The sequence below is a fragment of the Homo sapiens genome, chromosome 6, assembly GCF_000001405.40.
Source record: "Homo sapiens chromosome 6, GRCh38.p14 Primary Assembly".
NCBI lineage: Eukaryota > Metazoa > Chordata > Mammalia > Primates > Hominidae > Homo > Homo sapiens.
In genome coordinates this window covers 52,846,294-52,870,650 of record NC_000006.12, presented here as the reverse complement: position 1 = coordinate 52,870,650, position 24,357 = coordinate 52,846,294, and the positions used below count along the sequence as shown (strand labels likewise).

Below are 24,357 nucleotides of genomic sequence, written 5' to 3'. Positions count from 1 at the left end.
ACTCCTATACATGTATTATTACCACATACTCTCACTTCTTAGGCTGCCAAGAAAAGTCACAGTTAGCCAATGAAGACTTGAGACTGGTTTGCTGGAATCTGAGGGTGCCCACTGATGGGTAACAATTTGGGCCAAGAAAACATTCTGGGAACTCCTCCAACACCGTCATGAAGAATGCAGGTTCTTCTTCAGCATTGTTTGTGGTTTTCAACCATACATCCTAAAGTACATTTTTGATTCTATGGCTTAAATTATTCATTCATTCATTCATTCTTTCATTCATTCATTCAGGCTTAGAGAAACCTCCAGGAGACTGCTACCATGGCAGAGAAGCCCAAGCTCCACTACTCCAATGCACAGGGCAGAATGGAGTCCACCTGGTGGCTCCTGGCTGCAGCCGGAGTAGAGGTAGGTTCTGAGTTAGGTCATCTTAAGTTGGATTTAAAATTGTGTTATCACATACTTTTCCCACAGAAACTATGAGATGATTACTAACTGAAGCATTGTGCCTTAAATAAAAATGGACTATAATTAAGAAAAAGATGAACAGATTTGACCTAATAATTGTTAAAATTTCTTATCATCTAAGAGCCTCAATATTAAAATATATTTAAAAAACTAATCACAAAGTGTAGAACTTAAGTGGATTAGAATTTAAACAAACTGTAAACAATAATTATGGCATTGACCAGGTGTAGTGGCTCACGCCTGTAATCCCAGCACTTTGGGGGGTCGAGGCGGGCGGATCACCTGAGATCAGGAGTTCGACACCAGCCTAACCAACATGGGGAAAAGCCGTCTCTATTAGAAATACAAAATTAGCCAGGTGTGGTGGTGCATGCCTGTGATCCCAGCTACTCAGGAGGCCGAGGCAGGAGAATCACTCAAACCTGGGAGGCGGAGGTTGCAGTGAGCTGAGATCATGCCATTGCACTCCAGCCTGGGCAACAAGAGTGAAACTCTGTCTCAAAAAATAAAAATAAAATGATAATAATAATTATTTTGGTATTTATACAATTAGAAACATGAATATTGACTGAATATTTGATGACATGAAAGAATTATTGTTAATATTTCATGTGTGATAATGTACTAGTTCTATCTTTAGAATAGTATGTTTTAGGAAAACACATTGAAGTATTTAAGGATTAATCTTATGGATCTGGGATTTCCTTGGAATTATTACAAGTAGGTGGACATATCTTGTCCCTCGGGTGGCAGCAGAAAAGGAGGATTTCAGGTGAGGTGGCGTCCTGTGAAGGGAACTTCTAGCGCGCCCCTTCAGCCTCACAGCGCCGCGTGGACCTGAACCTCGGAACGGTACTTTGTGCATTGTTTCACGAGGGCTTGGGACCTTAGCCTCATCCTTTCTCAATCCTACGAGGAAACAAGCACATAAGAAATCCAAACACTGCCATTCCAGGTTGTTTTCTTTGTACAAATGAATACCCTGTCACCCAGACATCAGCTCTGCAGCTCAGGGATGTGTTCAGAGCCCGGGTAGGAAGAGTTCAGCAGGAGGGAGGGGAGGGGCAAGGCTGGGAGGAACACAGGCTCCCTGGTCTCCATCTAGCCTGACTGAAGGCGGGGGCAGGGCTGACTGCAGACCTTGCTCAGGCTTCTGGGGTCTCAGTGCCCTAAGGCTGATGATCACAACCCAGTCCTCAGCCTCACAAGCAACATCCCACTTGCCAATCCCACCCCATCTCGGTCACCCTCCTGCCAGGACCACACATCGTTCCTTAGGTTTGTCCTGAACTGGATGCTATATTAATTGCTGGCACACACCCCCCGTAACCTCTAGATCCTGGTCCTATGTGATCATAGATCCACAACAAACTCTGTTCCACGGAGCAAGCTAGAAATCCCTAAATTCCTGAATTTTCACCATAAAGAACTCCATTAAAGTGTAATTAGCCACTGGAAACACAACTACCATTTATTACTTGATGTATGTGGGTCAGGCCCTGTATCATGCATTTTGAAACATTACAAAATTCTGATTAAGGAAATATTCTTTCCCCATTTTGCAGATGAGGAAACTAAGGCTTGAAGATGTTAAGTGATGATTCCCAGATCACACAGCTATTATGAGGCAGAGTCAAGATTGGAACCAGATCATATCAACAGTGAAATCCAGAGAATCTTGATAACTTTTGCTTAGACTTTTGGTTTGACAGATTCTGCCTATGTAAGTCAACTTCATCATTACGTAATAACTGAATTTCATATCAGTATTAAATACCTGCAACCACTCATAGCTTCTGATCAGACTGAGACAGCTTTGTTGCTGGCTGCCATTTCCACCAAAGTGACTTGTCTCAGGACAAGGTGTAATTTACTCCAAGGTTTAAATTACTGGTTGTAGATCAAGATCAAAGTATATTTTCATCAATTTTAGATTGATTTAAATTTTTTAAAGGATGATATGATGAAATAGCCAGCTATATCTCAAAATTCTAAAGATAATTTATATTTATTTATTTATTTATTTATTTTGAGTTTTAATGCATATTTAATAAAAATCATTTGGTTGGATATCTTTTTTTTAAGGGAAACCAGAATGGTATTTATTATTTTACATTTGGTAGAGGAGATATCTTAAAGGGTCCAGAATACATAAGTCTCTTACGTATGATACTCCTTTTTTTGTTACTGAGGTATACTTATAAGCTTAGATAAGTAATCAGAAGGTTCGTTGGTAAGCACTGAATTAGAACAAAGGCAGTTAGGTAATTTGGAGTTTAATAGCCCAGGGTACCTGACAGAGATATGCTGGGGGCCACAACCCTGTATGTAATTTTAAAGTTTCTAAGTAGCCACATTTTAAAAAGTAAAAAGAAACAGATGAAATTAACTTTAATAATATATTTAACTCATTATATCTAAAATGTTATTTTACTATGTAGTCAATATATTAAAATTATTGTTTTTCATACTAAGTATTCAAAATCTGGTGTGTATTTTTTTCTATATATTTGATTTTTTAAAATTATACTTTAAGTTTTAGGGTACATGTGCACAACATGCAGGTTTGTCACATATGTATACATGTGCCATGTTGGTGTGCTGCACCCATTAACTCGTCATTTAGCATTGGGTATAACTCCTAATGCTATCCCTCCCCCTTACCCCCACCCCACAACAGTCCCCGGTGAGTGATGTTCTCCTTCCTGTGTCCATGTGTTCTCATTGTTCAGTTCCCACCTATGAGTGAGAACATGCGGTGTTTGGTTTTTTGTCCTTGTGATAGTTTGCTGAGAATGATGATTTCCAGCTTCATTCATGTCCCTACAAAGGACATGAACTCATCATTTTTTTATGGTGGCATAGCATTCCATGGTGTATATGTGCCACATTTTCTTTCTTTTTTCTTTTTTTTTTATTATTATTATACTTTAAGTTTTAGGGTACATGTGCACAATGTGCAGGTTAGTTACATATGTATACATGTGCCATGCTGGTGTGCTGCACCCATTAACTCATCATTTAGCATTAGGTATATCTCCTAATGCTATCCTTCCCGCCCTCCCCCCACCCCACAACAGTCCCCAGAGTGTGATGTTCCCCTTCCTGTGTCCATGTGTTCTCACTGTTCAATTCCCATCTATGAGTGAGAACATATGGTGTTTGGTTTTTTGTCCTTGCGATAGTTTACTGAGAATGATGATTTCCAATTTCACCCATGTCACTACAAAGGACATGAACTCGTCATTTTTTATGGCTGCATAGTATTCCATGGTGTATATGTGCCACATTTTCTTAATCCAGTCTATCACTGTTGGACATTTGGGTTGGTTCCAAGTCTTTGCTATTGTGAATAGTGCCACAATAAACATACGTGTGCATGTGTCTTTATAGCAGCATGATTTATAGTCCTTTGGGTATATACCCAGTAATAGGATGGCTGGGTCAAATGGTATTTCTAGTTCTAGATCCCTGAGGAATCACCACACTGACTTCCACAATGGATGAACTAGTTTACAGTCCCACCAACAGTGTAAAAGTCTTCCTATTTCTCCACATCCTCTCCAGCACCTGTTGTTTCCTGACTTTTTAATGATTGCCATTCTAACCAGTGTGAGATGGTATCTCATTGTGGTTTTGATTTGCATTTCTCTAATGGCCAGTGATGATGAACATTTTTTCATGTGTCTTTTGGCTGCATAAATGTCTTCTTTTGAGAAGTGTCTGTTCATATCCTTTGCCCACTTTTTGATGGGGTTGTTTGTTTTTTTCTTGTAAATTTGTTTGAGTTCATTGTAGATTCTGGATATTAGCCCTTTGTCAGATGAGTAGGTTGCGAAAATTTTCTCCCATTTTGTAGGTTGCCTGTTCACTCTGATGGTAGTTTCTTTTGCTGTGCAGAAGCTCTTTAGTTTAATTAGATCCCATTTGTCAATTTTGGCTTTTGTTGCCATTGCTTTTGGTGTTTTAAACATGAAGTCCTTGCCCATGCCTATGTCCTGAATGGTATTGCCTAGGTTTTCTTCTAGGGTTTTTATGGTTTTAGGTCTAACGTTTAAGTCTTTAATCCATCTTGAATTGATTTTTGTATAAGGTGTAAGGAAGGGATCCAGTTTCAGCTTTCTACATATGGCTAGCCAGTTTTCCCAGCACCATTTATTAAATAGGGAATCCTTTCCCCATTGCTTATTTTTTTCAGGTTTGTCAAAGATCAGATAATTGTAGATATGCGGCATTATTTCTGAGGGCTCTGTTCTGTTCCATTGGTCTATATCTCTGTTTTGGTACCAGTACCATACTATTTTGGTTACTGTAGCCTTGTAGTATAGTTTGAAGTCAGGTAGCGTGATGCCTCCAGCTTTGTTCTTTTGGCTTAGGATTGACTTGGCATTGTGGGCTCTTTTTTGCTTCCATATGAACTTTAAGGTAGTTTTTTCCCATTCTGTGAAGAAAGTCATTGGTAGCTTGATGGGGATGGCATTGAATCTATAAATTACCTTGGGCAGTATGGCCATTTTCACGATATTGATTCTTCCTAACCATGAGCATGGAATATTCTTCCATTTGTTTGTATCCTCTTTTATTTCATTGAGTAGCGATTTGTAGTTCTCCTTGAAGAGGTCCTTCATATCCCTTGTAAGTTGGATTCGTAGGTCTTTTATTCTCTTTGAAGCAATTGTGAATGGGAATTCACTCATGATTTGGCTCTCTGTTTGTCTGTTATTGGTGTATAAGAATGCTTGTGATTTTTGCACATTGATTTTGTATCCTGAGACTGCTGAAGTTCCTTATCAGCTTAAGGAGATTTTGGGCTGAGGCGACGGGGTTTTCTGGATATACAATCATGTCATCTGCAAACAGGGACAATTTGACTTCCTCTTTTCCTAATTGAATGCCCTTTATTTCCTTCTCCTGCTTGATTGTCCTGGCCAGAACTTCCAACACTATGTTGAATAGGAGTGGTGAGAGAGGGCATCCCTGTCTTGTGCAGGTTTTCAAAGGGAATGCTTCCAGTATTTGCCCATTCTGTATGATATTGGCTGTGGGTTTGTCATAGATAGCTCTTATTATTTTGAGATATGTCCCATCAATACCTAATTTACTGAGAGTTTTTAGCATGAAGTGTTGTTGAATTTTGTCAAAGGCCTTTTCTGCATCTATTGAGAAAATCATGTGGTTTTTGTCATTGGTTCTGTTTATATGCTGGATTACGTTTATTGATTTGCATATGTTGAACCAGCCTTGCATGGGATGAAGCCCACTTGATCATCGTGGATAAGTTTTTTGATGTGCTGTTGGATTTGGTTTGCCAGTATTTTATTGAGGATTTTTGCATTGATGTTCATCAAGGATATTGGTCTAAAATTCTCTTTTTTGGTTGTGTCTCTGCCAGGCTTTGGTATCAGGATGATGCTGGCCTCATAAAATGAGTTAGGGAGGATTCCCTCTTTTTCTATTGATTGGAATAGTTTCAGAAGGAATGGTACCAGCTCCTCCTTGTACCTCTGGTAGAATTCGGCTGTAAATTCATCTGGTCTTGGACTTTTTTTGGTTGGTAAGCTATTAATTATTGCCTCAATTTCAGAGCCTGTTATTGGACTATTCAGATATTCAACTTCTTCCTGGTTTAGTCTTGGGAGAGTGTATGTGTCAAGGAATATATCCATTTCTTCTAGATTTTCTAGTTTATTTACATAGAGGTGTTTATAGTATTCTCTGATGGTAGTTTGTATTTCTGTGGGATTGGTGTTGATATCCCCTTTATCATTTTTTATTGCATCTATTTGATTCTTCTCTCTTTTCTTCTTTATTAGTCTTGGTGGCAGTCTATCAATTTTGTTGATCTTTTCAAAAAACCAGCTCCTGGATTCATTGATTTTTTGAAGGGATTTTTGTGTCTCTATTTCCTTCAGTTCTGCTCTGATCTTAGTTATTTCTTGCCTTCTGCTAGCTTTTGAATGTGTTTGCTCTTGCTTCTCTAGTTCTTTTAATTGTGATAATAGGGTGTCAATTTTAGATCTTTCCTGCTTTCTCTTGTGGGCATTTAGTGCTATAAATTTCCCTCTACACACTGCTTTGAATGTGTCCCAGAGATTCTGGTATGTTGTGTCTTTGTTCTCATTGGTTTCAAAGAACATCTTTATTTCTGCCTTCATTTCATTATGTACCCAGTAGTCATTCAGGAGCAGGTTGTTCAGTTTCCATGTAGTTAAGCGGTTTTGAGTGAGTTTCTTAATCCTGAGTTCTAGTTTGATTGCACTGTGGTCTGAGAGACAGTTTGTTATAATTTCTGTTCTTTTACATTTGCTGAGGAGTGCTTTACTTCCAACTATGTGGTCAATTTTGGAATAAGTGTGGTGTGGTGCTGAAAAGAATGTATATTCTGTTGATTTGGGGTGGAGAGTTCTGTAAATGTCTATTAGGTCTGCTTGGTGCAGAGCTGAGTTCAATTCCTGGATATCCTCATTAACTTTCTGTCTCACTGATCTGTCTAATGTTGACAGTGGGGTGTTAAAGTCTCCCATTATTATTGTATGGGAGTCTAAGTCTCTTTGTAGGTCTCTAAGGACTTGCTTTATGAATCTGGGTGCTCCTGAATTAGGTGCATATATATTTAGGATAGTTAGCTCTTCTTGTTGAATTGATTCCTTTACCACTATGTAATGGCCTTCTTTGTCTCTTTTGATCTTTGTTGGTTTAAAATCTGTTTTATCAGAGACTAGGATTGCAACTCCTGCCTTTTTTGTTTTCTATTTGCTTGGTAGATCTTCCTCCATTCCTTTATTTTGAGCCTATGTGTGTCTCTGCAGATGAGATGGGTTTCCTGAATACAGCACACTGATGGGTCTTGACTCTATCCAGTTTGCCAGTCTGTGTCTTTTAATTGGAGCATTTAGCCCATTTACATTTAAGGTTAATATTATTATGTGTGAATTTGATCCTGTCATTATGTTAGCTGGTTATTTTGCTCATTAGTTGATGCATTTTCTTCCTAGCCTCGATGATCTTTATAATTTGGCATGATTTTGCAGTGGCTGGTACCGGTTGTTCCTTTCCATGTTTAGTGCTTCCTTCAGGAGCTCTTGTAGGGCAGGCCTGGTGGTGACAAAATCTCTCAGCATATGTTTTTCTGTGAAGGATTTTATTTCTCCTTCACTTATGAAGCTTAGTGTGGCTGGATATGAAATTCTGGGTTGAAAGTTCTTTTCTTTAAGAATGTTGAATATTAGCCGGGCGCGGTGGCTCACGCCTGTAATCCCAGCACTTTGGGAGGCCTTGGGGGGCGGATCACGAGGTCAGGAGATAGAGACCATCCCGGCTAAAACGGTGAAACCCCATCTCTACTAAAAATACAAAAAATTAGCCGGGCGTAGTGGCGGGCGCCTGTAGTCCCAGCTACTTGGGAGGCTGAGGCAGGAGAATGGCGTGAACCCAGGAGGAGGAGCTTGCAGTGAGCCGAGATCCCACCACTGCAGTCCAGCCTGGGTGACAGAGCGAGACTCCGTCTCAAAAAAAAAAAAAAAAATGTTGAATATTGGCCCCCACTCTCTTCTGGCTTGTAGAGTTTCTGCAGAGAGATCAGCTGTTAGTCTGATGGGCTTCCCTTTGTGGATAACCCAACCTTTCTCTCTGGCTGCCCTTAATATTTTTTCCTTCATTTCAACTTTGGTGAATCTGACAATTATGTGTCTTGGAGTTGCTCTTCTCAAGGAGTATCTTTGTGGCGTTCTCTGTATTTCCTGAATCTGAATGTTGGCCTGCCTTGCTAGATTGGGGAAGTTCTCCTGGATAATATCCTGCAGAGTGTTTTCCAACTTGGTTCCATTCTCCCCGTCACTTTCAGGCACACCAATCAGATGTAGATTTGGTCTTTTCACATAGTCCCATATTTCTTGGAGGCTTTGTTCATTTCTTTTTATTCTTTTTTCTCTAAACTTTCTTCTCACTTCATTTCATTCATTTCATCTTCCATCACTGATACCCTTTCTTCCAGTTGATCAAATCGACTACTGAGGCTTGTGCATTTGTCATGTAGTTCTTGTGCCGTGGTTTTCAGCTCCATCAGGTCCTTTAAGGACTTCTGTGCATGGTTATTCTAGTTAGCCATTCGTCTAATATTTTTTCAAGGTGTTTAACTTCTTTGCCATGGGTTCAAACTTCCTCCTTTAGCTCAGAGTAGTTTGATCATCTGAAGCCTTCTTCTCTCAACTCGTCAAAGTCGTTTTCTGTCCAGCTTTGTTGCTGGTGCAGAGCTGCGCCCCTTTGGAGGAGGAGAGGCGCTCTGATTTTTAGAGTTTCCAGTTTTTCTGCTCTGTTTTTTCCCCATCTTTGTGGTTTTATCTACCTTTGGTCTTTGATGATGGTGACGTACAGATGGGGTTTTGGTGTGGATGTCCTTTCTGTTTGTTAGTTTACCTTCTAACAGTCAGGGCCCTCAGCTGCAGGTCTGTTGGAGTTTGCTAGAGGTCTACTCCAGACCCTGTTTGCCTGAGTATCAGCAGCGGAGGCTGCAGAACAGTGGATATTGGTGAACAGCAAATGTTGCTGTCTGATTGTTCCTCTGGAAGTTTTGTCTCAGAGTAGTACCCAGCCGTGTGAGGTGTCAGACTGCCCCTATGGTGGGCTGCCTCCCAGTTAGGCTACTCAGGGGTAAGGGACCCACTTGAGGAGGCAGTCTGTCTGTTCTCAGATCTCAAGCTACATGCTGGGAGAACCACTACTCTCTTCAAAGCTGTCAGACAGGGACATTTAAGTCTGCAGAGGTTTCTGCTGCCTTTTGTTCCGTTATGACCTGCCCCCAGAGGTGGAGACTATAGAGGCAGGCAGGCCTCCTTGAACTGAGGTAGGCTCCACCCAGTTTGAGCTTCCAGGCCAGTTTGTTTACCTACTCAAGCCTTGGCAATGGTGGGCGCCCCTCCCCAAGCCTCGCTGCCGCCTTGCAGTTTGATCTCAGACTGCTGTGCTAGCAATGAGCGAGAGGCTCTGTGGGCGTAGGACCCTCTGAGGCAGGCCCGGGTTATAATCTCCTGGTGTGCTGTTTGCTAAGACTGTTGGAAAAGCACAGTATTAGGGTGGGAGTGACCCGATTTTCCAGGTGCCGTCTGTCACCCCCTTCTTTGACTAGGAAAGGGAATTACCTGACCCCTTGTGCTTCCCAGGTGAGGCAATGCCTCGCCCTGCTTTGGCTCACACTCGGTGTGCTGCACCCACTGTCCTGCACCCAGTATCTGACACTCCCCAGTGAGATGAACCCGGTACCTCAGTTGGAAATGCAGAAATCACCTGTCTTCTGCGTCGCTCACGCTGGGAGCTCTAGACTGGAGTTGTTCCTATTTGGCCATCTTGGCTCCACCCCCCAAAATTTATATTTAATGAGCAGTTACTATCACTTGCTACTTTTCTAAGTGCTTTGTGTGACCTTGTAATTAAATCTTGATATCAACCTATACCATAAGTTCCATAAGTTTACCCATTTCATAGATTAGCATACTCAGACACAGAGAGTTTCGGTAACATGTCCAAAGTCAAGAAGCCAGTACATGAAAATGGTGATAATGAACCCACAAAACCACATCAGAAACCAGAGGTTTTCATGAAAAATAATGTTAGCGTGGGGCTCTAATTCCTTTATTAAATTGAGAATTTTACCCTATTGGTCCCATGTACTTCAGAAGAGAAAATTACAGTTGCAAGTGTGAAAGCTGTGCAACAGCTGCAACCTATTTCACCCTTAGCAGAGTTTCTGAGAAGTGGGGTGATATAAATTATAGCAGAGACTCCTTGGTGGCAGAATATTTGATGGCCATTAGCCCATGGCATACCCCACACTGGGGACACACAAGGTTGTGGTCTGATCTCACCTGGAGACACAGGCTTTCCTAAGATATGACAACACCATAAGTAGAAGAACTGCTCAGTGCCTTTTCTCCAGTGATGTCTGCTCTCAAAATATGACCTAATCATAGACATTCATGAGATCAGGCTGGAGGTGAAGTGAACTAGAAGATTGAGCAGCTATGTGCTGTGACCCACGCACTTTTCTCAATAAATTAGGTCTAAATTTACAAATGGCCATGACCAGCCCCCTCTGTGTACCCTGCCAAACTCAGAAATCTTATATTCTCCAAACCATGCACCAGATAGGGGCCATTCCACATCACAAGTCTATAATAGAATAAACTAACAAGAACTCATATACTGTTTCTGCTTGCATTTTGAAGAGAAATTTCTAGAATCTGCAGAAGATTTGGAAAAGTTAAGAAATGGTAAGATCGGCCAGGTGAAGTGGCTCCTGCCTGTAATCCCAGCACTTTGGGAAGCCAAGGCGGGCTGATCATGAGGTCAGGAGTTCGAGACCAGCCTGACCAATGTGGTGAAAACCCTTCTCTACTAAAAATAAAAAAATTAGCCAGGCATGATGGTGTGTGCCTGTAATCCCAGCTACTCAGTAGGCTGAGGCGGTAGAATCGCTTGAGCCCTAGAGGCGGATGTTGCAGTGAGCCAAGATCGCACCACTGCACTCCAGCCTGGGTGACAGAGCAAGACTCAGTCTCAAAAAAAAAAAAAAAAAAGGTAAGATCAATCTCTAAGTGCCTCTGATGATAGTATCGAGTAGAAGGTACACGGGGAGGTTTGACCAGCCGGCAATGCCTATGTGTGTGGGGCGTGGTATTTGTACATGGTGCAGAGGGAGAAAGTGGTTAAAATGGAAGGGATGTGGCTCCGTGATCAAGTCTGGCAACTCTCTCCAGACTAAAAGGACCAGACCTCTCAGACTATTTGCTAGAGGAATCATCTCCCATGCCCTGAGAAAACCCTTTCTTTGTTTTCATGATTGGGGCTCCGTGAATGAGCTGTGGTCATCAGCTCAGGATCCCACACAGCTCTCCCCATCCAAGGACACGCAAGAACATGCATTAGACTAAAGGAGGAGAAATCGATGTGGCCACAGTCTTGAGTTTTTTCTTTCATGCGGGGGCATGACAAGGTAACACTGCAGCACTGCACAAACATTGTAGGCTTTGAAGAGCAGAGAAAGGGACCCTTACATAAAAACCTCTCAGAAATTGCCTTAAATGTCACAAACACCATGAGACTTACTTTGGGAACTTCCCATTTTAAATGGCATCTTGTTGCCAGTCCTATTGTAACTTGTCCCAACCTCTTCCTAAAATATCCATGAAGATAAATCAACACAAAAATACAAGAGTCCTACTATGTATCTGGAGGGGAAATAAAAACATGAATGAAATAAATCGATAAAAAGTAAAAGGAAGCTTCTTAAGAAAAAGAAGAACTACGGGAAGCTTTTTAAAAATCTTGTTTGGGCCAGGTGCAGTCGCTTACGCCTAATCCCAGCACTTTGGGAGGCTGAGGTGGGTGGATCATTTGAGATCGGGAGTATGAGACCAGTTAGGGCAACATGGTGAGACCCCATCTCTACTAAAAATATAAAAATTAGCCAGGCATGTTGGTGCACACCTGTAATCCCAGCTACTCAGGAGGTTGAGGTACAAGAATTGCTTCAACCCAGGAGGCAGAGGTTACAGTGAGCCGAAATCACGCCACTGAACTCCAGCCTGGGTGACAAAGTGCAACTCTGTCTCAAAAACAAAACAAAACAAAACAAAAAGTTGTTTCAAGTGAAATCTTACCAGGCCATAATTTCTTTTTCATTTCACAAATTTAGTAATTTCCATACCATTTTTTTCATACGGAAAGAGTGGGTTCCATAGACATTTCACTCTCCTTTTTTCCTTCTTTCTAAAGATGGGAGTTTTATGTTCCAACAAGTGCCAATGGTTGAGATTGATGGGATGAAGCTGGTTCAGACCAGAGCCATTCTCAACTACGTTGCCAGCAAATACAATCTCTATCGGAAAGACATAAAGGAGAGAGTCCTGTACAGTATATTTTCTGTTCTTCCATCAACAGATAACACGGAGTGATTTAGGTCCCTCCTTGAGTGGGTGGGACCATGGCAGGAACATCATGACCAGCAGCAGGCTGGGCCTTGGGCATGTACGCTGAGGTCCAGCATTGCAGAATTCCACATAGATGAAGGAATAGTGACCATGGGGAGGGTTCAGGCGAGGGTGATTCTAGAAGACGATGCAGTCCATGGATTCAGCACCCTGACAGAGGTTTCCAAACACTGATGAACCATGAACTCAGGATGATGGCGAATCATGATTCCAGGTGCTAAGGATTTCAGACACTGGATTCCAGCCTATAGCTTAGGACAGGCATAGAATGTTTGAGAGTCTGCAGATGAAGGACTTGGGACGGAAGGTGGCAAAGAAGCTGAATCTCAGGTCCCAGTAATTCCAAGAATGATGACCAGAAACCTAAATTACCAACCAATTATATGGACTGGAACACCTGAGCAGTGCCTGTAGAGGCTGGCACCAAGGATGCTGGGGTTACCTTGACACATGGATACAAGGCTGAAGCAGCCAGATTTATTCAATACCAGCAAAGCCAAGGGGTCTCCTTGCTGTTGTGATGAGACTGCATGATTCCAAATAAATCCTGAATGGAACTGTTGGCAACTCCTCAAAAAGTTTAATATAGTATTACCAATGACCCCACAGTTCCTCTAATAGCTGTATCCCCAAATAATCAAAAATATATCCACACTAAATCTTTTACATAAATGAACCATGCAAATAACAATATTCATAGTATTCAAAAAGTGGAAGCAACCCAAATATCCATCAGTCAATAAATGGAGGAGAAAAATGCACCTTAGCCATGCAATGGAATGATATTTGGTCATGAAAAGGAATGAAGTACTGATGCATGCTACAAGATGGTTAAACCATAAAGACATGTTACATAAAAGAAACAAGACACAGAAAGCCACGTATTATAGGATCCTTTCCATATGAAATGTCCAGAACATGCAAATCTATAGAGGCAGAGAGTAGATTAGAGGTTGCCTGGAGGTAAAGGAGTGGGGCTTGTGGAAAAATGAGGAATACCACTAAAGGTACAGATGTCCTTATCAGAGTGATAAAAAATATTCTGGAATTAGACTGCCATGATTTTTGCAGAAATCTTTGAATGCACTAAAAACCACTCAATAGTATAATTTAACAAGTCACAATTATAGTATGTGACTATATGTCAATAAAGCTGTTGTTTTAAAAAGTATTGTGGGGAGACTTGCAAGATGGCCAAATAGGAACAGCTCCAGTCTGCAGCTCTCAGCGAGGTTGACGCAGAATGTGGGTGATTTCTGCATTTCCAACAGAGGTACCCAGTTCATCTCATTGGGACTGGTTGGACAGTGGGTGCAGCCCTTGGAGGGTGAGCCGAAGCAGGGTGGGGTGTCACCTCACCCGGGAAGCACAGGGGGTCAGGGAATTATCTCCCCTAGCCAAGGGAAGCCATGACAGACTGTATTGGGAGGAACGGTGCACACTGGCCCAGATACTGCACTTTTCCCATGGTCTTCGCAACCGGCAGACCAGGAGATTCCCTCCGGTGCCTACCCCACCAGGGCCCTGTGTTTCAAGCACAAACCTTGGCACCCATTTGGGCAGACACTGAACTAGCTACAGGAGTTTTTTTTTTTTTCATACCCTAGTGGCACCTGGAATGCCAGCGAGACAGAATTGTTCACTCCCCTGGAAAGGGGCCTGAAGCCAGGGAGCCAAGTAGTCTGGCTTGGCAGGTCCCACCCCCATGGAGCCCAGCAAGCTAAGATCCACTGGCTTGAAATTCTTGCTGCCAGCACAGCAGTCTGAGCTCGACCTGGGATGCTTGGGTTTGGTGGGGGGAGGGGCATCTGCCATTGCTGAGGCTTGAGTAGGCGGTTTTCCCCTCACAGTGTAAACAAAGCCACCAGGAAGTTCGAACTGGGCAGAGCCCACTGCAGCTCAGCAAGGCCTCTGTGGCCAGACTGCCTTTCTAGACTCCTCCTCTCTGGGCAGGGCATCTCTGAAAAAAAAGGCAGCAGCCTCAGCCAGGGACTTATAGATAAAACCCCCATCTTCCTGAGACAGAGCACCTGGGGGAAGGAGTGGCTATGGGCACAGCTTCAGCAGACTTAAATGTCCCAGCCTGACAGCTCTGAAGAGAGCAGTGGTTCTCCCAGCACAGCGTTCAAGCTCTGATAAGGGACAGACTGCCTCCTCAAGTGGGTCCATGATCCCCATGTATCCTGACTGGGAGACACCTCCCAGTAGGGGCCGACAGACACCTTATACAGGAGAGCTCTGGCTGGCATCCATTGGGGGTCCCTCTGGGATGAAGCTTCCAGAGGAAGGAACAGGCAGCAATCTTTGCTGTTCTGCAGCCTCCACTGGTGATACCCAGGCAAAGAGGTTCTGGAGTGGACCTCCAGCAAACTCCAGCAGACCTGCAGCAGAGGGGCCTGATTGATAGAAGGAAAACTAACAAACAGAAAGGAGTAGTATCAGCATCAACGAAAAGGATGTCCACTCAGAGACCCTATCAGAAGGTCACCAACATCAAAGACGAAAGATAGATAAATCCACGAAGATGGAAAGAACACAGTGAAAAAGGCTGAAAATTCCAAAAACCAGAGCACCTCCTCTCCTCCAAAGGATCACAACTCCTCACCAGCAAGCAAACAAAACCGGACAGAGAATGAGTTTGACAAATTGACAGAAGTAGGGTTCAGAAGGTGGGTAATAACAAACTCCTCTGAGCTAAAGGAGCATGTTCTAACCCAATGCAAGGAAGCTAAGAACCTTGAAAAAAGGTTAGACGAATTGTTAACTAGAATAACCAGTTTAAAGAAGAACATAAATGACCTGATGGAGCTGAAAAACAGAATGAGAACTTCATGAAGCATATACAATTAACAATAGCCGAATCAATCAAGCAGATTAAAGGACATCAGAGATTGAAGATCAACTCAATGAAATAAAGTGAGAAGACAAGATTAGGGAAATAAGAGTGAAAAGAAATGAACAAAGCCTCCAAGACATATGGGACTATGTGAAAAGACCAAATCTGCATTTGATTGGTGTATTTGAAAGTGACTGGTACCAGCCACTGCAAAAACATACCAAATTGCAAAGACCATCGATGCTATGAAGAAACTGCCTCAACTAATGGGCAAAATAACCAGCTAGCATCATAATGACAGGATCAAATTCACACATAACAATATTAACCTTAAATGTAAATGGGCTAAATGCCCCAATTAAAAGACACAGACTGGCAAATTGGATAAAGAGTCAAGACCCATTGCTGTGCTGTATTCAGAAGTCCCATCTCACATGCAAAGACACACATAGGCTCAAAATAAAGGCATGGAGGAATATTTACCAAGCAAAATGGAAAGCAAAAAAAAGCAGGGGTTGCAATCCCAGTTTCTGATAAAACAGACTTTAAACCAACAAAGATCAAAAGAGACAAAGAAGGCCATTACATAATGGTAAAGGGATCAATGCAATAAGACCTAACTATCCTAAATATATATGCACCCAACACAGGAGCACCCAGATTCATAAAGCAAGTTCTTAGAGACCTACAAAGAGACTTAGACTCCCATACAATAATAGTGGGAGACTTTAAAACCCCATTGTCAATATTAGACAGATCAACAAGACAGAAAATTAACAAGGATATCCAGGACTTGAACTCAGCTCTGTACCAAGTGGACCTAATAGACATTTACAGAACTCTCCACCCCAAATCAACAGAATATACATTCTTCTCAGCACCACATCACACTTATTCTAAAATTGACCACATAATTGGAAGTAAAACACTCCTCAGCAAATGCAAAAGAACAGAAATCATAAGAAACAGTCTGTTAGACCACAGTGCAATCAAATTAGAACTCAGAATTAAGAAACTCACGCAAAAACTGCACAACTACATGGAAACTGGACAACCTGCTCCTGAATGACAACTGGGTAAGTAATGAAATGAAGGCAGAAATAAAGATGCTCTTTGAAACCAATAAGAACAAAGACACAATGTACCAGAATCTCTACAACACATTTAAAGCAGTGTGTAGAGGGAAATTTATAGCACTAAATGCCCACAAGAGAAAGCAGGAAAGATCTAAAATCGACACCTTGATATCACAATTCAAAGAACTAGAGAAGCAAGAGGAAACAAACTCAAAAGCGAGCTGAAGACAAGAAATAACTAAGATCAGAGCAGATCTGAAGGAGATAGAGACACGAAAAACCCTTCAAAAAATCAATGAATCCAGGAGCTGGTTTTTTTGGGAAAGATCAACAAAATGGATAGACCACTAGCCAGACGAATAAAGAAGAAAAGAGAGAAGAATAAAAAAGATGCAATAAAATATGATAAAGGGGATATCACTACCAATCCCACAGAAATACCATCTACCATCAGAGAATACTATAAACATCTCTACACAAATAAACTAGAAAATCTGGAAGAAATGGATAAATTCCTGGACACATACACCCTTCCAAAACCAAAACAGGAAAAAGTCGAATCCCCAAATAGACTAAGAACAAGTTCTGAAATTGAGGCAATAATTAATAGCCTACCAACCAAAAAAAGTCCAGGACCAGATGGATTCACAGCCAAATTCTACCAGAGGTACAAAGAGGAGCCGGTACCATTCCTTCTGAAACTATTCCAATCAATAGAAAAAGAGGGAATACTCCCTAACTCATTTTATGAGGCCAATATCATCCTGATACTAAAGTCTGGCAGAGACACAACAAAAAAAGAAAATTTCAAACCAATAGCCCTGATGAACATCAATGCAAAAATACTCAATAAAATACTAGTAAACCGAATCCAGCAGCACATCAAAAAGCTTATCCACCACAATCAAGTGGCTTTCATCCCTGGGATGCAAGGCTGGTTCAACCCATGCAAATCAATAAATGTAATCCATCACATAAACAGAACCAATGAAAAAACCACGTGATTATCTCAATAGATGCAGAAAAGGCCTTTGACTAAATTCAACACCCCTTCGTGATAAAAACTCTTAATTAAATAAACTAGGTATTGATGAGACCTATCTCAAAATAATAAGCAATTTATGGCATACTCATAGCCAATATCATACTGAATGGGCAAAACTGGAAGCATTCCCTTGGAAAATCAGCACAAGACATGGATGCCCTTGCTCACCACTCCCATAGTATTGGGGGTTCTGGCCAGGGCAATAAGGCAAGAGAAAGAAATAAAGAATGTTCAATTAGGAAAAGAGGAAGTCAAATTGTCTGTTTGCAGATGACATGGTTGTATATTTAGAAAACCCCATCGTTTCAGCCCCAAATCTCCTTAAGCTGATAAGCAGCTTCAGCAGCCTCAGGATACAAAACTGATGTGCAGAAATCACAAGCATTCCTATATACCAGTAACAGACAAACAGAGAGCCAAATCATGAGTGAGCTACCATTCACAATTGCTACAAAGAGCATAAAATAAATAGGAATACAACTTACAAGGGATGTGAAAGACCTCTTCAAGGAGAACTACAAACCACTGCTTAAGGAAATAAGAGAGGACACAAACAAATGGAAAAACATTCCACGCTCATGGATAGGAAGAATCAATATCATAAAAATGGCCATACTGCCCAAAGTAATTTATAGATTCAATGCTATCCCCATCAAGCTACCACTGACTTTCTTCACAGAATTGGAGAAAACTACTTTACATTTTATATGGAACCAATAAAGAGCCTGCATAGCCAAGACAATCCTAAGCAAAAAGAACAAAACTGGAGGCATCACGCTACCTGACTTCAAAATATACTACAAGTCTACAGTAACCAAAACAGCATGTTACTGGTACCAAAACAGATATAAAGACCAATGGAACAGAACAGAGGCCTCAGAAATAACACCACACATCTACACCATCTGATCTTTGGTAAACCCAACAAAAACAAGCAATGGGGAAACGATTCCCTATTTAATAAATGGTGTTGGGAAAACTGGCTAGCCATATGCAGAAAGCTGAAACTGGATCCCTTCCTTACACTTTCTACAAAAATTAACTCAAGATGGATTAAAGACTTAAATGTAAGACCTAAAACCGTAAAAACCCTAGAAGGAAACCTTGGCAATACCATTCAGGACATAGGTATGGACAAAGACTTCATGACTAAAACACCAAAAGCAATGGCAACAGAAGTTAAAATTGACAAATGGGATCTAATTAAAATAAAGAGCTTCTGCACAGCAGAAGAAACTGTCATCAGAGTGAACAGGCAACCTACAGAATGGGAGAAAATTTTTGCAATCTATCCAGCTGACAAAGGGCTAATATCCAGAATCTACAAAGAACTTAAACAAATTTACAAGAAAAAAAAACCCATCAAAAAGTGAGTGAAGGATATGAACAGACACTTCTCAAAAGAAGACATTTATACAGCCAAAAAACATATGAAAAAAACCTTATCATCACTGGCCATTAGAGAAATGCAAATCAAAACCACATTGAGATACCATCTCAAGCCAGTTAGAATGGTGATCATTAAAAAGTCAGGAAACAATAGATGCTGGAGAGGATGTGGAGAAATAGGAATGCTTATACACTGTTGGTGGGAGTGTAAATTAGTTCAACCATTGTGGAAGACAGTGTGGTGATTCCTCAAGGATCTAGAACTAGAAATATCATTTGACCCGGCAATCCCATTACTGGGTATATACCCAAAGGATTATAAATTATTCTACTATGAAGACTCATGCACACGTATGTTTATTGTGGCACTGTTCACAATAGCAAAGACTTGGAACCAACCCAAATGTCCAACAATGATAGACTGGATAAAGAAAATGTGGCACATATACACCATGGAATACTATGCAGCCATAAAATATGAGTTCATGTCCTTTGCAGGGACATGGATGAAGCCGGAAACCATCATTCTCAGCAAACTAATGCAAGAACAGAAAACCAAACACCACATGTTCTCATTCATAACTGGGAGCTGAACAAGGAGAACACATGGACACAGGGAGGGGAACATCGCACACCAGGGCCTGTCAGGGGGTGGGGGGCTAGGGGAGGGATAGCATTAGGAGAAATACCTAATGTAGATGACAGGTTGATGGGTGCAGCAAACCACCATGGCACGTGTATACCTATGTAACAAAACTGCACTTTCTGCACATGTACCCTAGGACTTAAAGTACAATAAAAAGTAAAGGATTGTGAAACCCCAGTTTGACACAAAAGAGGAAAAGTTTGCGTTGGTTGTAACTATGTAGAGAATTTCACCAAGGAAGACAATCTTTTAGGTGGGGTCTCAAGAAAGTCACACATGGCTAGAGTTGGGTAACAGCACATGGAGAGGGCTGTGGAAACGTGTTTCATGGATGTAATTGGAGGAACTGCTAATATGAGGCATAGAAGCAGCCCTGGGAGCTTTAAAATGATGAGAGAGGATGAGGAACATGGCTGAGATGGCTATAGCAGCGACTCTTTTAAAATTGTAGGAGGTAGGTCTTTGGCCATTTGACTCACACTAAGTTCATGCACAGAGCAAACCACAATAGAGATGATCAGTCCTGGCACAGCACCATTGGGTACTGGCAGTGATTCCACCAATTTCTCTCATGACTGTGACCACCGATGCTCTTGGTACCTGTATTGGTCATGTGTGTAACAAAATTTAGAGATCTATCTACCTTGATAGGTTGTTTTAAGAAATAAATGTTAATATACCTGTAAAAATCAGAGCATAATGACTAGAATATAAAAGGCACCCACTGGAGGTGAATTACTTTGCCACCACCTGACACTCTATTCTCTTAGGTTTTTATAAACCTATAAAATCTAAGGCAAAAGACATTTGACGGTTTGGTTGTTTTTGTCTTTCAGGATTGATATGTACACAGAAGGTATAGCAGATTTGGGTGAAATGATCCTTCCTCTGCCCATATGACAACCTGAGGATAAAGACACCAAGCTTGCCTTGAACCAACAGAGAACAAAAAATCGCTATTTCCCTGCCTTTGAAAAATAAGTGAAGCTGTTCAGCGTTTTGCATCACTCAGTTTAGAGACCAGTAGAAAAACAGTGGCTGGGCATTCCTGGGGCACTGACCTTCACTTTCAGTGAGACTTCATGAACACCAAGGCAGCACTCTGACTCTCAAGGCATTTTATGCAAATAGACTTGGAGGAACAATTGTAACACTTATACACAAGTTATAATTTTCCAATAAAATTTTAACTTACTAGACCCCAACATTAAATTCTCTGTTGAACAAAATTTCATGTTCATAAGTAGAACGTGGGCTGTGGAAGGCTCTGGACCACACTAGAGGTTGCTGTTGAGTCTACGGAACCCCATGGACTTTTATTGAAGATGAACATGATGAAAGTGACCCATCAGAAAATATTCTGGCACCCTGTGTAGGAAGACACAAGACCAATTGCCCAACCAGAGAATATTGTAGTGTTTCAGGGATGGGTATTTATTAAAAGGAGAGTGACTGTGGGATGCAGAGGAAGATTTTGTATTTTATAATAAGTTGCAGACATCAGTGCAGTTCACCCTTAAACGCTTCAGCTTGCAAATTATAACATAGTGCTGGTTAGGAGTCAGAGTCAATGTTGTAAGAAAGATGATGAATTCAGGTTCACCCAGGTTTACTTCAGATCCGAGGGAGATAGAGCAGGGAATGAGGAGAGCAGAGAAGGAGAAATGAGGACTCTGAAATAGTCTCCTCCTGGGGGAAGAGTGTTGTCATGAAGGTGGAGTCGCTGCCCAAGGGAGATTGGAGACGGAGAGAGAAGAATGTAGAGCCACGTCCTAAATGTGAAGGCTCCATGCTGTAGGGCCTGGGGCAGACAGAACATGTGGCAGCAGGTGCTAAGCCCCTGGCCCATGTGGAAGAAGCAAGCTGGGCGGGTGGTGTAGATGCCACAGTGATGTGGATGAGAAGAGAAAATGAGAGCTTGAGCTCCAACCAAGGAGTGAGCAGGGCTACACTTCTTACTCCCTCAGTGAAACAGGGAATGTGGAGAAAGGTCTGGATCTCTGCACCTATGCAGTGAGGCAGCAGAAATGGGAGAGTCAGACTGGAGAGACTCAGGGAGAAGCAGGGGTCCCAGCCTTACTGCACATGTGATGGAGAACCAGGGGTCCCAGCCTTACTGCCCATGTGATCCTGATTTGATTCCTCCAATTCTCGACGTCTTAAAGAGCAATGGACAAGACTACCTTGTTGGCAACAAGCTGAGCTGGGCTGACATTCACTTGGTGGAACTTCTCTACTACATGGAAGAGCTTGACTCTAGCCTTATCTTCAGCTTCCCTCTGCTGAAGGTGACCCATTTCACAGTTCTCAGAGAGGCAGACCCATATCTCCCATCTTGGGATCTTGTATCTGGGACCTGGGACTGAGTATGTTTTGACCCCAATGTTCACCAGGCCTTCAGTGCCCCAAAGTCTCCAAAATGAGCTTCCAGGCTCCAATTTTGAGGAATGAAAACACTTTTGTTATGGAAAGGAAATTTGTGGTGCATGCTACCCCATGAAGAGTATTTTGCCTTTTATCATGGAAAGGACCCAGGGCCCAGCATGTCTCCCCATCACTCTATTTCAATGTGGTTTCTGTTCCTGAGTTCTCTGGGATGTCCTTTATCCCATATGTGCCCTTGTCTTCCCGCATTGAGTCAGTCTGAGCAGAGCCCTCTCCATCTGGTTTCCTCCCTAGGCTCTGACTCCTGCTGTCTGACACTGTGTTCCTCTCTGCACAGCTCTCCAGCACACTGGCCCCCTACACTGTATCTCTCACTGACAAAAGTGGTCCCATTATTTGTGTTTAATATTTTCTATAACATTTTCCTTTCCAACTCATTTCCCCATATTTTCACTTCTGCTTAGAGACTGATCTGTGTTGAAATCTCACGGCACATTGTTTTTTCTTGTCTTATACAAGAGTCACTAATCTACAGGATTAATATGTAAGAAGAAAGGGATGGCTGAACTGATTAAAATCTGAAAGACATCTTTGGGGAAAATATAAGTGAGCTACATGTTATTCCTCTCATCTTCATTTCTCGCTCAGTGTCTGTTTCTGCCTCCATGCTGGTGCTGATGGCACAGACTTGCTTGGTCTTTGTGTAGAAGGGTCTCAGATTTTCTGGGTGGTATAAACGGTGGTGGCAGGCCTTGGCTTCACTCTGAGGCTGTGCATTGTGAATTACAGGCCCTGAAAACCAGAATCAGCAACCTGCCCATGGTGAAGAAATTTCTACAGCCTGGCAGCCCAAGGAAGTCTCTCATGGATGAGAAATCTTTAGAAGAAGCAAGGAAGATTTTCAGATTTTAATAAAGCAGCCATGGAGGCCAAGAACATGCAAGACCAATATTCTAAAGTTTTGCAACAATAAAGTACTTTACCTAAGTGTTGATTGTGCCTGTTGTGAAGCTAATGAACTCTTTCCAATTACATACTAATTAAATAATAAATCTCCTATTTGTCGACTTGGTTAAAATTAATTTCTTTTCCTTAGGATCTGATATGAATTCAGATTTCCAATCTCCTCCTAACCTACCACTTTCTTGGAATTAAAAGCTTAGTAAAAAAATAATGTAGATTATGTGGTTTGTTTGACTTTTCCAAGAATTGCCCTGCAACATTCAATTTGTCATACAATCTATTAAAATGTCAGTGTAGAAATATACTTCTGACATTTTCAGGTATGCACAGGAGAAGAGTTACCATTCTGGGTAATGACATAAAGACATTTTCTTCTTTTCTTGGACCATCATTTTATTTCTGATAAAAGCATTCTTCCTTATCCATTTACAAGACAACCATTCTTTCTGCTGTGGATTCCTCAGTTTTCTAGGAGGTGAGGAAATATTGAAGAGCAAACAGACCCATCCTCTGCTCTCAGGCCACCCTGTTTTCCCTTACAGTGTGTGTGCTCCTGGCTCATCCTCACTCTGCCTCCTTAAGGCTCTGTGAGGCCCCAGGCATGAGCCTTCCCTCAGTTCCTTCAGTGCCACTCAGGCCTGGGCTGCCAAGATACAAATGGTATATGCGAATTACATATAAGTAAGTATATGCAAAATTATTTTTCCCTGGTGTGTCATTGTGCCATTGTGCTTGGATTAGGAGTGATTTCCAGGAATCCTTCCCTGCATCTTCTAGCTTCTGGGGGCTCTTGGCCTTTCTGGACTTTCATGGATCGTGACCACACCACTCTAATTTCTGCCTCTGTCTTCCTGCACCTCACCCTCTGTGTGTTGTGACTTCTCTTCTCTCTGCAGTGAGGACAATTGTCATTGGATTCAGGGCCTTTCCAGATATACCAAGATGATCTCATCTCAAATTCTTTTACTTCATTACATCTGCAAAGAGCCTTTTTCCAAATAAGATCACGTTCACAGGATCTAGGGATTTCTATATGGACCTGTCTTTCTAGGGGGCCAACATAACCCCCTATATGGTATAGATGAAGAAAGATTATTTGCAATTGATGAATCCAGGTGATGGATGCTTTCAGATTTGTTATATTATGGGCAATTTGAGTGACGCAAAGAGGAAAGCATATGCAGATAGGGTTCCCGGATTTGTCAGATAAAATACAGGACACCCACCTAAATGTGAATTTCAGATAAACAGTAAATAATATTTCAGTATAATCTGGTTTCATACCGTGTTTGGAACATAGGTATAACTAAAAAATTATTGATTGTTTGCCTGAAATTCACATTTACATGGATGTCTTATATTTTATTTGGCAACCCAGTAAGAAAAGGGTGCCATCAACTTGCCCTTCACAGACATCCCTTCCCAGCTATGCTCACAATAGAGATTTTTCAGTTGCCCTAGTCCTTGCATCCAACTCACAAAAAAAAGCATCTTTAAAAAGCCAGTTTCTGCTGACTTGAAAAGAGAGCAAAATCTAGGTGAAATGTATTGTTTAAACTAATTGC

The 24,357-nt window shown here is 41.7% G+C and overlaps 1 pseudogene, besides 3 other annotated features; it reads left to right on the top strand.

Moving 5' to 3' along the window:
• Positions 293 to 22,899, top strand: GSTA11P (glutathione S-transferase alpha 11, pseudogene; annotated as a pseudogene).
• Positions 697 to 907: a silencer, noted in NCBI's record as "fragment chr6:52734542-52734752 (GRCh37/hg19 assembly coordinates)". NCBI's record gives its function as "represses an EF-1alpha promoter that drives an FKBP-Casp9 reporter gene in an ReSE screen in phorbol 12-myristate 13-acetate-treated (for megakaryocytic differentiation) K562 erythroleukemia cells {active_cell/tissue: K562(+PMA)}" and the evidence as "EXISTENCE:reporter gene assay evidence [ECO:0000049][PMID:32094911]".
• Positions 1,459 to 1,628: an enhancer, noted in NCBI's record as "experimental_92153 CRE fragment used in MPRA reporter constructs". NCBI's record gives its function as "activates a minimal promoter by MPRAs in K562 erythroleukemia cells, with activity observed for both the introgressed and non-introgressed 6:52733906 variant alleles {active_cell/tissue: K562}" and the evidence as "EXISTENCE:reporter gene assay evidence [ECO:0000049][PMID:34662402]".
• Positions 24,181 to 24,350: an enhancer, noted in NCBI's record as "experimental_92150 CRE fragment used in MPRA reporter constructs". NCBI's record gives its function as "activates a minimal promoter by MPRAs in K562 erythroleukemia cells, with activity observed for both the introgressed and non-introgressed 6:52711184 variant alleles {active_cell/tissue: K562}" and the evidence as "EXISTENCE:reporter gene assay evidence [ECO:0000049][PMID:34662402]".